We start from the raw sequence: 13,462 nt of genomic DNA, 5'->3' as shown, positions 1-13,462 counted from the left end.
TTCACTCTAAATTTGTGTTACATATTTGCTATTTCTTGGCCAATCTCTTCTACAAGAATAAGGGTCCCATGAGGAAAGGGATTTTTCCTGTCTTATTCTTCACTCTCTTTATAGCATGTAGAATAGTTCCTGGCATGTGAAAGAAACTAATATATTATATATATATATATATTATATTATCATATATATTATCATATAATATATATCTATATATCTATATATCTGTATCTATATCTATATCTATATCTATATAAAATGGCAGGAGGATCAAGCCCAACATGACTACTTTACTTGGAAAATGAGAAACACTCTAAGATGTAAACACATAATGTATGCTTTATAATATACAGAGATTGTTATTGCTACTGTGTGAGAAGGAAAAAATATGTTGTTAAAAGTATTGTGATCTACACTAAAAGCAAGACCACCATATAGGTCCCTGGCCTTATTGAACCCTAGTTTATTTTTCATGATTGCTTCCGTAGCAGTTAAAAAAAGACTACCCATCAACTCATCATTCCAACATGGCACATGTATACCTATGTAACAAACCTGCACGTTGTGTACATGTACCCCAGAACTTAAAGTATAATAATAATAATAATAATAATAATAAAAAGAGAGAGACTAATGTCATTCAGGCAGCACTCCTTTTGTTGTTTTATTGTTGTTTTCATTGAATATTGAATATTGAAACCTCAAGTCATCGTTTTCTTATTCAATAGGTAAATGTTGCAGTCAACTCATGACAGGAAAAAAGGAAACACATAAGAATGATTAAAATGTGTCTTTAATTTAAGTATGTTGACAGAATAAATTTTTATTCCAACGGGTACAAAATAAAAATAAATTATATTTTCCAGGTGAAAAAGTTGATTGAGTTTTAAATACACTGTATTTAGTTTTATACACTGTATTTAGTTTTATACAGTGTATTTAAAACTAAATACATTGGATTTAGTTTTTAGCATATATATATACACATACACACATATTATATATATATATATGCTGTGTATATATGCAGCTATAACATACTATATATTAAATATATAATATATTTTCTATATATAGTTATATACATATACAACATATTTAAAACTAAATCAACTTTTTCATCTGGAAAATATAATTTATTTACATTTCTTTCATTTATTTTTATTTCACACCACTTGGAATACAAATTTATTATTTAAAAATATATATATTTTTTATATTTATTTATATATGTCATGGAACTCAGGAATATAGCATCTTCCTATAGCTCATATATGACATTACTGAAACCTTAAAGTGGTTTCAAAAAATAATGGAAATTGCTCTTCAATTACTGCTCAATATCATCTAGGTCAAAATTCAAATAATTGTTTTCAGCTGACATTGTCCAGTGTTCAAATGGGCAGAACTATATAACCATCTCCTGCACATCAGTTTTGCCGTTATTTGGGAGCATGGTGAGCCTGTCATAATGCTGAATTCTTTAAAATAAGCTGACTGACAGGTGTTGAAATGAAGATATTCTATGGTTAAAAACTCTGCTAGAAAATAAACACGAGAAAAATAGTTTTTAAGAGCTATGCCCTAAGTGCATCAATAACTTTATAAAAAATCTTTCTCCTTTTGTCAGCACACAATCACTGAAATTAGCCGAAGAATGAAGACTTTAAATTAAAAGCCAGCTGATACTGTTTGATTATTAGAATCTTTGGAATTCAAGTGGAAATGTGATGTGGCGATTCTGAGTGTGATTAGGTTTCTTTTGAAATTCGAGATTTGTTTGCATCTTATCAGTCCCTTCTTTTTCATTTTTGTAAAGTTCACAGTTAAGTGCCCCAACTTTAAGGATAAAATTCAATGAGCTTTTACAAATGTACACACCCAAAAAACAAAAATCTTAACCAAGATATAGAATCTTTTCACTAATATTGGAACTTTCCTCATGCCCTATTCCAGGCATTTCCATCTCCTATAGGCAACTATTATTTCACATTTTTTTAAGCTTTTCATAGTCTTAAGCTTCATGTAAACAAAATCAAAGAGTGTGAATTTGTGTCTGTTTTTTTGCCATAGCATAATAATAATTATTATTTTTAAGATGTCCCCTTATTGTTGTATATGTTATTGATTTTAAGTTGTTCTTCTTGGTAATATAGACATTTAAAGTTATCAATTTTCCTCTATGGCCTGTGTCCTCCAAATTTCAGTGTGTTTTTTTTTAACTCAAAATTCACTTGAAATATATATATTTTTTTCTTTATGGACCATATGTTACCTAGAAAAATGCTTTTGATTTTGAAATATTTCAGTCTTCCTATATCTTATTTTTACTGTTTTATAATTTAATTTCATTATAGTGAAAAAGATCTATAAAATTTAATTTTAAAAAGTGTTAAAAAACTTATTTTATGCCCAGAATATTAATTATCTTAAAAAATATTACATATGAACTTGAAAATAATATAAATACTGTAGTTTTAGGGCTAATATCTTATAAATCCTAAGTTACTTTGCTTGATCATGCTGTTCAAATATTCTATATTTTTACTGATTTTTGTCTAATTCAATCAATAATAAAAGTGGGTATTAAAACATTCAGCTATGATTATCAATGTATCTAATTTTACTTTTTAGATCTGCCCATTTTTTTCTTCATATGTTTTAACATTTACAATTTTTGTATCTTCTACTCAATTGCCCTTTCATTGCATAAATAGTCATTCTCTTTTTCCAGTAATGTTTCTCATCCAGAAGTCTAATTTGTCTAATACTGATATAGTCACACCAGCTTTCTTATATTGTCTGTATTTGCATGATATGCTTTTTACCTTCATTTTCCTTTTAACCTACCTGTATTTTTATAAGGGGATCAAATATGTGTCCAATATTTGATCAAATATGTTCTATTGTTTACTCCATTTTTAATATAATTATTGATATGACTTGATTTAGGTTTGCCATCTTGCTACGTATTTGTTGTTTGTCCCATCTTTTAATTGTTCTTTTCCATCTCTTTTCTTGTTTTTTTTTTTTATTAATTACATATTTTAGTATTTCTTTTTATCTCCATCTGTCTTATTGGCCATAACATGTCACACTCTAACTAGAATTAATATTTATCCTTTATATAAAGTATAAAAACCTTAGATAATAATTAGACCTAACTCTAGCCTTTTTGTACTTTTCTCACATAATTTATTAATACTTAAATTATAAACTCCACAATATATTAGTTTTAAATGTTCAAAAATTTTTTCAAATAATTAAAATAAGGAAAAGAAAGTAAGTTTTAAATATTTACACATAGCTACCATTCTTGATGCTTTTTATTGTTTTCTGTAGATCTGACTTTACATTTGTTGACATTTCTCTATACCTGAAGGCCTACTTTTAGTATATGTTGTAGTACAGGAAACTTAACTCAACTTTTATTTATCTAAAGATGTTTTTATTTCACTCTCACATGTGAAGAATATTTTTTTCTAAGTAAAGAATGTTGGATTGATACAATTTTGTAATGAGAAATTTTATTTACCAGACATACTAGTCATTGGTTTTTACAGATTTTCCATCTATATCCATATGAATTTGAGCACCAGAAATGTCTATAATTTTTAGGTCATTACCAGTTGTCTTCATTCAGTTAGGCATTAGCATAATATCATTGACTTCTACAGTCATAAATGCATTAAGAAAAATTTTTTGTCTTCTATAAAATCATTATTAAATGTATTTTTATCAGCGTCTCTCACATGAAGATTTATAATCCTATTTGAATTTAGAAATAGAAAAAATGTTTATCTAAATGAAAAAATTATGTTTTTTTCAATCTGCTAATTATATGAACCACGATATTTTCTTTCCTTTTTACCTTGGGAGTCAAAACTAATCTTAAGGATCAGTCTGAATAACTGCACTAGCATAAAGTGTAGCATAAAACTAAATTGCTTGTCTGTGTATTCTAACGTTCTCTTATTTTAATTGTACTTTTGAAAGTAGGCAGTGTATAAAGTAGAAATAAATATATAGATATTTTACATATTTGGTAACAATAACATAAATCAAACTTTTTATATGTATGTTTAATTCCTTTTCATTGGCAGAAAAGATGTTGACATGGAAATTTTACCAAGCCTCCACCCCCAGAGTTAGGGTTGTTCGAAAGAGTATCTCTTGTCTAGAGCTATGGCTATGTCACAAGCAAAAGAGCTGAAGGTTGAAAGGTAAATAAGCACAAAGGAATCATCAGTACAAAGAGAGACTGTGACAAGACTAGACAATTCTATTCAAAATTTTGAGAACTGGAGTATAACAAATGAGAATGAAGAAACCAATGATGGAAACATCAAGATGAGGCCCAATGGACCATTAGGAGGTGGGTCTATAAAAACTCTGAAGACAACACCATGCTACTTGTTGCTGGCTTCTGTATGTTATTTCTGACACAATGCTTAGGCAGTCTTGCTCCACTAAGAAAAAGCTGGTAGAACACATATAGACACTAATAATACGTTAATTATATTAAAAATAGGGGGCTTATTTTAAAATACAACTTAACTAATAGAGTGAAAACAATACACTGGTTGTCGTTAAACTTCCCCTTTTCTTCATTCATCAAAAGTGTATCTACTGAATACCTAACATAAAGAAATCATTTATACTGGGGTAAATTACACATCAATCTAAACTTCCAGAAAATTTTATTCATTATATAAAGTTAAATAAGGTTGTAAATATCTAGAGTCCAAGGTGAATGTGGTATATATCATAAGCGATGTACAAAAAACATACTGTCCGGGCACTGTGACTCAGGCCTGTAATCCCAGTACTTTGGGAGGTCAAGGTGGGAGGATTGCTTGAGCCCAGGAGTTTGAAACCAGCCTGGCCAACAGGGCGAAATCCCATCTCTACAAAAAATACAAACATTTGTCGGGTATGGTGGTGCAGGACTGTAGTCCTACCTATTCTGGAGGCTGAGGCGGGAAGATCACTTGATCCTAGGAGGCAGAGGTTGCAGTGAGCCGAGATCGTGCCATTGCACTCTAGCCTGGGAGACAGAGTTAAACTCTGTCACAACAAAACAAAACAAAAAATACATGCTGGGAAAGTTCAAAGAATGGGGTCATTTCCAGGGAAATTTCCACAGATGATGTCATAGACAACCTTGACTTTGAGGAAGAGCTAGGATATACAAAGTCCCAGATATTGGTGAGAAGAAATCACTAATGCTATGGTCATACATTTTTATGTTTTTTGTTTTGCAATGATAGCAATGCTGGTGGTGGTAAGTAATGATTGCATATCCCAATTTGGAGAGAACATGATACAATATGCCTTCTTGCATGTAATTCTGTGAAGAACGATCATTGCATGTATTGCCCATGAAATTGTAATTATAATTATAGCTTACATAATTAGAATATAATAAAATATAACTACTTTTTCTGTTGACTTGAGTGGCACAAATACCACCTTCTTTCCCACTAAATGTAACAAAGATTCCCTTTGTCTAACCGTATGCTGTGATCCTCCACCAGATTTGCCATGATAGTGGCTGAAGAAGGATTTAATCCCGTCTTGGGACAATTTGTACTATTTAGGGAAAGAACTCTGTAACTGAGGGTTAGGTAAAGGGCCTGCTGGCCAGCAACTCCCTTGCAACTCATCCTGTAATCATAGAATGAATGACATGCTCATTTATTTCTTTTGAAATACTTATTAGTCACAGCAGTAGGATTTTCCCAGGAGCAAATAGCTGACCAATTCTTGCTGCTGTGTAATAGAACTCCTTGGCCTCAGGGATCACTCTAACTGGGGATTCCGCTTGCACAGGTACGTGACACAGCCAAGGATGAAAGCAAAGGTGAACTCTGCCTTTGCCTGCCCGGGTCTCTGTGGGTGAGCTCTCAATAAAGGAGGAAAAGTGTTTGAAGCAGTGGCAGTTACTGGCTGACATAGTGACCAGCTGAAGTCCTTAGAGGGAAGAAGGTATTGGGAGAGGTGTTTAAACTCTGCCTGACTTGTTTAGTAACTCAGGCGGTCAGTTTCTCTGCTTGCAAAATGATGGGCATGTAAGATCCTTGGGGAATCCTGTCTTTCTGTTTTTTTGTTTTTATTAGTATAAAAATGATAGATGAAACTTTTTAATCTTTAGACATTCTAACATGTCACATTTATTATCAATTAGTGAATGTCATTTTATATATTTTAAAAAAAAACTTTTCCACATGCAATGAATGATGAGGCATTCTGAAGACAAATGCCTTACATTGTACCTTTTCCTCATTTATTTAATGGCACAACATCCGTTTTCCCCAGCTCGGCAGCTTTCTTTTACCTGACCTGTAACATGAAGACTGTAAGTTTCATGAAGGTAGAAATCTTGTCTGGCTCATCTTTGCCTCGCTAAAGTCTAATGTAATGCCTGGCTTGAAAATCAGTGTTTAATAAATATTAGGTAGGAATTACAATTATTCAACCACATGCTCATTTGTGCTCATTTATTTTGATATTTCAAAATGATTAATAATTTTCTCAAATTAAATGAAGTGCTAGCAGCACAAGCAATATAACTATAATCCTCTTTTCAACCTAATTTCTCTATATTATGAGTAGTGAATCAAGTGGAAAATTTCAGAATCATTTCTTAATCATTGGTATCTGAAAATTTCAGCTCACTTATTCAACATTTATTGAATTGCTACAGCAATACAACATGGATAACACCAAAATGTGTAAGTCACGGTCCTTCGACTGATGCAAAGTAGTTCCTGGTAGAGAATAAGGACTTAGTAATGAAAAGCTTCTTTTTATTGAGCAATTATTCCAGTCACTCATCTAAACAATTTATATGTATTATCGCATTTAATCATTAGAAAAAAACCAATTAGGTGGGTGCTATTAGGTTGGCGCAAAATAATTGCGGTTTTTACCATTGAAAGTAATGGCTATTAGGTAAGGATTATAATATTATTATCCCTATGAGCAAACCGAATGACAATGAAGTTATGTAAAGCAATTGCCCTGTGTTATTCAGCCAATTTGGAATTCAGATAGAATCCAAAACCTGAAGTCTGAGTAACTGCTGTAGTGATTGTTCTCGATATTGTATACTGATGGAGATTTTTTTTTAAATCTACTGGTTCTATATATAAAAACAACAACAGTAAGCTAAGGATATCTTCACTGGGTTTTCTTTTGGTGTCAAGGAATGTTCACAGAACTCTCAGAAACAAATTCGAAAGGATTCGTGACAAATGTGAGTCTGTTTTGGAAAAAACATTGCTAGGCATTTATTGTAATTATTCTACGAAACATAAATAGAAGTGGTAGAGAAGATTGCAGGCTTTCAGCTTTTTGAAACAAATCAATCTGTGTCTTCTTTCCCAGGTTTTTGCTTTCATATTAGCATACTGGCACCTATCGCTTTCCCCTGCACTTTATTCCATTTTCATTTTGTAATGTTTTCAGGCATGTTGGAAATATTTCTATTTCCACATCCTCTTCCTTCAATGAGTCGATAGGTTTTTAGTGGTAATTCGAGTAAATAAAAGCTTTGCCCTCTAAATTGTGAATTCAGATGAGATAGAGTAGCATTTTAGAGAATTTAATGAGTGAAATTAACTAAGTAAAAGCAATGAAAGGGCTTGGTTATGACACCTGATTAATAGGCTTGTAATCAGTAACTAAAAGGCCAGTGTTGGTGTACAGAAGCTGAGGATGGGGAACAGGTTTTCCCATGTGGAATTTACAAAATAAAATCATTGATAAGTTCAGTCAATATCTGGTAACTACCTTTGCTCAATGAACATAGGCATATTTAGGGAGTAAACATCGTTGTCACAAATTAGGCATGAAAAAGAACTGGCTAATGTACTGAAGAGTTCAGTTTTTGATAAAATGGGATGAGTCAGTGAATCATTCTAGGTAAAATATTTTAAAAGTTAAAGAAAATATACAGAAGAAATGAAGAGAGGTCATTGATGGATATAGTACAATGAGATTTATTTGGGTACAAATTATACTCAATGTCATGTAAGTGGCTAAGATCACTGTGAGAATGCAGAAAGGACGGGAAGAGAGAGAAGAAAAGACAGAGACAATGATGGTGATGCCTAGGCTTGGGTGTTTAGACAAAGTCCTCAGTTGGCGTCAGATGAAAGAAGACCAAAAGGTAAGAGTGATAATCTAAACAAATTATATGAATAATTAAAACTGTCCTGATTGTTACCAAATACCACAACTGGGGTTTCTTATTTGTTGGTTTTTTAAATAATGACTTTTACAGTTGACATTTCTCTCCATTCGTACAGTGAAATCTCTGTTAACTCTGGCCATATTACTGAGCAAGAAGGCTTTTTCTTATAGAGGACTGATAAGAAGTGAGTTATGATGGCCTTTGTTCTATTAAACTCTGATTGTGTGCTTTACCCAACCAACATTGCCTAAGTACCTGCTATGTATGAGGCACGGGGAGAGATTTTGATAGTATTTTTTTTTCTTCCAGGGAAATGTCACATAATTAGCAAAGGTTTGGAAGAGCTCTGAACCCATCCTTTTTTTTTTGCTTTTGTGCATAGATATTTTTACTTTCGTCCACACATATTTCTGTCCTAGCCCTTTTTCTCTAGAGAACAGAAAATTGAAGCAAGAGTTAGTGCTAATTGTTTATGTGGAAGGTGCAATCCCAAGGCAGTGAGATTAAAGGAAAAGGGGAGCAGGAGTAGACAGAGAAGGATGTGAAAAAATGCATAGTCATGTGTTATAGCACTGCCCTCTACTTTACACAAACCACAAAAATAAGCCCATCAATCGGCACGTGCATCTGTTTGGTTATGCATGACTCTTTAGATGGGCTCTATGGATTAAACATTCTACAGATAACTCTATGGAAGAATAGAAAGGGAGGAAACTTATTCTCTCACGGTTCTGGTTTTCCACTTAACAAACCTTGCCTATCAAGGAAGTAATTAACTGCCCTGAATCTCAGAGTTGTATTTTCTGGTCCTTTTGGTAGTTGTTCTGTAAACTAGATATTATGTGCCACATGTTTTATCTAACCAGGGAGTGATGGGATCGGGGAAGCCTGCCTCTTACAGTTTGTGACTGGTTTGGCCTTCAATCCAAAGGGAAAAGTGAGTTCAGCCCTCCTGGAGAGCACCAGACACTGAGTCAGTAGGCTATGGCAGCAGGGTTGTGGATGGCCCTTCTGGGAGAAAATACCATGAGATGGCTGAAGATTAACAAGCAGCTATGGTGCTGTAAGGTAATAGCATCAAGAAGATCCAATAGGATGCATTAACCTATGCCTAATATGATATTGAAACATTACTGGATTCTTCTTACAGTTTCTATGTTACCATCTCTTAGAATAACAAGTTACAAATATTGCTATTTATAACATTTTTATATTCCTTTTGTTATTTTCTCCTCATTTTCAATGTCCATATCTTTATTTCCTTACTAACTTTATTTACCTCGGGATTATTTTCACATGCACACTCTGCCTAAACAGATAGACACTTGCCTGCGTGGTGCAGGGGTATCATCCATCAGCTCTTCTAGTTATTCAGGCAATGCGTCTCTGCACACACCAACTTCATGGGACTCATTCTCAGCAAAGCTGCTTAAAAAAGTGGAGAATGGGATGCATTTCACCTCTACTTACTTCTCATATCTTTTCCCAGTTTTATAATGCTGCTTTTGAGAGCAGAAACATTGATGCCACAAACAAAACCTCTTTACCTTAAGGCTCTGTGGTGAATTCTTTCCAATATCAAGAAGAATTTATCACTCCTATTTCTGAATTCTGTAGGGCAATGACTCCTCCAGGGTGACCTTACAGCTTTGCACATGTCCACATAGGCCCTACAGACAAACACTTGGACTTGAACACAAGCTAATGTGAGTGTTGCCAGAATGCCTTTCAATCCTCCTGGAACACGAGAGGATGAGGGGCCTGTGAAGGGCTGCTATGAGGCCAGCTCCCACTCCCTTCTCCATCTCCCCTGGGGGGCTGCTGGGAGTGAGTTTCACAGCACCTTCAAGTTCTGATGGGGTGTGGGGCTTTCTTCCTGTCCCCTCACCATAGTATTGCAAATTGTAAAACAATTTAGAGCAGTCAAAACCTGGTTCCTCAGGAACAGGATATCCCACAACTCATGTTGCAGCCAATCTTGCCCCTTTTTGTTTTGATATTGTTCTTTTTGATGTGTGGAAAATGGACCATTGGAAACTGGCCACTTTTGCTATCCTTCCCTTCATTGTCGAGGGAAGTAATAAGCTGAATCTAAAAGTGACACATTATATTTTTAGCTGTTTAATCAGTCAGTCTTAATTTTTGGCCTTTTCTTGTGTGGGCTTGACAACTTCTCTCATTATTTTGCATATAAATTCTACTTTACATAATTCATTCTCTTCTGTTTAATATGTGTGGTTAGTAGTTAAAATGTTTATTTTCCCACTGGATTTAAACTATTTAAGCGTAGTGATTGTATATGTTTCGCATTTTTCTCCAGAAGACTGAGTACAATTCATGGAATATAGAAGAAACATGTCCTGAGTAAATATATGAATGAATGATCCATTTATGTATGGATCAAGAGAAATACAGAGTACAATATGGAATGTGTTAATTCTATAAGCAATACTTTCTTACCTACCAACAATAAATTAGAAAATTGTGGAGTTTTGAATCCCTTTTCATTATGATATGGAGGAATAGTGAGAGAGTAAAAGTGTTGATGAATTTGAAATATATAAGGAAATCCTCAAAGGCTTGGCATTTATTCTTTTTTTAATTATTGGTTAGGGGGAATGATTAAGGCTGCCTTTCATATTCAAAAGCTAAACTATCAACTCTGAAGGTACTTTTATTTGATTTTTTAAATAATAAAGGTGGAATTAAGATAGATTGTTTTTTCAACAAATATTTATTATGTACTCACCATGTGTCAGGCAATATTATAGATGCTATTCACAGAGCCACAAATAAAACAGGCAAAATTCCCATTCACATAGAACTTAAATTCATATTTTCTCACGCATTCCTCTGTGGATTAATTACAGCTTCCTTCTCAAACTTTAGTGTTTGTAAGACTCATGTAGGGTTCTTGTTAAAATTCACAGTCTGATTCAGTTGGCCTAGGGTGGGCCCTGAGGTTTGGCATTTCCAACAAGCTTCCTGGTGATGCTGACATGATGATGGCACTGGTCTGCCAATCACATTTTAGTCTATAGGTATTAGAGGACTTATGGATCTGTGATCTTGAATCTAATGGGTTTCAGTATCAGGATCTGTCTTCCTTGTAACTCCACTGGACATTTTCCTAATCCCCTCCTCACAAGCCCTTTCCTACCACCTTATAGTTCTTTTCTTGTTTATAGCCATTTACTTTAATCCTTCTTTGCATTTGGTCATGCTGTCTTTTAGCTGTGAATCTTCATTCCCTTTCTTCTGTTTCTAGATTTTTTTTTTTTTTTTGCCTGATTTGCACTGAGAGGAACTTTAGCTTTTGTTTAGTTTTACTGCTTTGAATTTCCAAGTGAGGACCCTGATTTTTCCTGGGAAATTTTCTCACTCCCAATCTTATACTCAGTTGCTAGCAATTGCCAGAAGAGGGGATTGTACATGTTTAATGTACAATTAAAGTAAATATAAGTTTTTTTTTTGAAAAACCATTTATTCTCTTTTTAAAATCTGATCCACCTGATGTCATCAAAGGTAATGTGATTATTTCTGGCCAAATTTAGTCACTTCCAGCATTTCCTAGTCATTTCCATTGTAAACTCAATTCATAATTTCTATTCTTTTTTCTTCCATTTAGGACTGTATCGGAAGGGGTATATATGTCAATGAGGAAGCAGTGTGAAGTTATTCATTATTGGTCTTCAGCCATGCTGGAATTGGCTGTTCCGTCTTCATATCCACTGATCTCCAAACATCAGCACCAAACTTCCTTGGCCTTTGCTGAAACACACTGCCCAGCTTAGTGCTAAAACAGTCATTTTCCTTTCTAAGGTCACCTGCAAAATTAAATTGGGTTATTTTCTGATTTCACACTAGGCAATCTATGTGCAGCACCTTCTTTTAAAGAATCCTTTGTCTCATTTTGAAAGAACTTTCACAACTTTCTTGGAGCATGCAGAGAGGATCTGACCCATTTTTCTAGAAAATGTACAGAGCCATTTTAAATCTACTGGCCCAGCAATGTACAGAAAATGACACTTCTCCCCAAGGCTTAGTCTCACTTCAGGACTATAATATTGAAATCAAAGCAGACGTTCCCTCCATCTTTTGATTTTCTGGGATTCTCTTCTTCTCATTCTAGGCTTCTTTTCCTCAGGAGGACAAGGTGCCAAACTTCTTTAGCATCCTGTAAAATCTGTACATTTCTGAGGGTGTTCTCCCACCTGCCCAACCATGTTTTCTTCTCCACATCAGTTGACATTTATCTAAGAGGGAGTAAAGAAGCCCATCTTTTTTATTTTTATTTATTTATTTATTTTTGTAGCCCATCCTTTTCTCTTGCAATCTTTAGGACAAGGAATTAGTTATTAACTTTTCAAAAAAAATTTTTATTTTAATATCGTCACTGTGTCTCTGACTTTGATGCCATTAAATGTTTATTTTAAAATAATAAGCTACATGATGACTCTTCTTTTTTATTATTATTTTTATTTATTTATTTATTTTGAGACAGTATCTCGCTCTGTTGCCCAGGTTGGAGTGCAGTGGTGCGATCTCGGCTCACTGCAAGCTCTGCCTCCCGGGTTCACGACATTCTTCTGCCTCAGCCTCCCGAGTAGCTGGGACTACAGGCGCCCGCCACCACGCCCGGCTAATCCATTTCTGAAGTGAGTGATTTGGATATATAAAGATGTGTCACATAAGAAGAAGTAAAGGGGAAGACTAATTAATTGGACTTCAAAATATGATTCTACCACGTACACAATGCTTTTAATTCCTTGGTGTTCTTGACCTCTGCTCTCAGTATATTTTATATTTCCAGCTCTTTTGTCACCACTCTATAATTCCTTACATGGCCTTCGGTGTATGTCATCCATTTTTTTTTCCATTCCATTTTTGTTGTATAATGAATACAACTGCAAAATGACTGAGAAGTTTTATTTGTTTTATCCAGGACCACAAATTCTTCCCAACTCACTGCCAGCCAAATACGTGAAAGTAAGAGTAGATATATGATTGTGTAATACTTAGTACACCTTGAAAGACAGAAACAGTTACAGACTCATTTTTATAAGCGATATATCTTACCTCTATTTTGCAGTCAAATATTGAACACCATGTTGTACAAATTAATAATAACTAGAGATTAGGACTTCATGAAGATGGAAAAATGTGTTGATGATGACTAAACTTTCACTCAGAGATTACAACTCTCTGTATAATACATTTTGTACTTTGCCCAACCACACACAACAGATTCCATATACCACTCCAAGT

At 34.0% G+C, this 13,462-nt stretch overlaps 1 long non-coding RNA gene across 2 annotated transcripts in view; it reads left to right on the top strand.

Moving 5' to 3' along the window:
- Positions 1 to 12,635, top strand: part of LOC102724858 (uncharacterized) — a 175,348-nt gene extending 162,713 nt beyond the window's left edge. For both annotated transcript variants that reach the window (XR_929061.3, XR_007060968.1), the window contains one exon: positions 4,101 to 12,635. This is a non-coding gene — a long non-coding RNA (uncharacterized LOC102724858). The remainder of the gene's footprint in view (positions 1 to 4,100) is intronic.
- Positions 12,636 to 13,462: the final 827 nt, after the last annotated feature.

Source organism: Homo sapiens, chromosome 8 (assembly GCF_000001405.40).
Source record: "Homo sapiens chromosome 8, GRCh38.p14 Primary Assembly".
Lineage (NCBI taxonomy): Eukaryota > Metazoa > Chordata > Mammalia > Primates > Hominidae > Homo > Homo sapiens.
The sequence above is the reverse complement of the archived record's forward strand: the minus strand, read 5'-3'. Positions and strand labels throughout refer to the sequence as shown.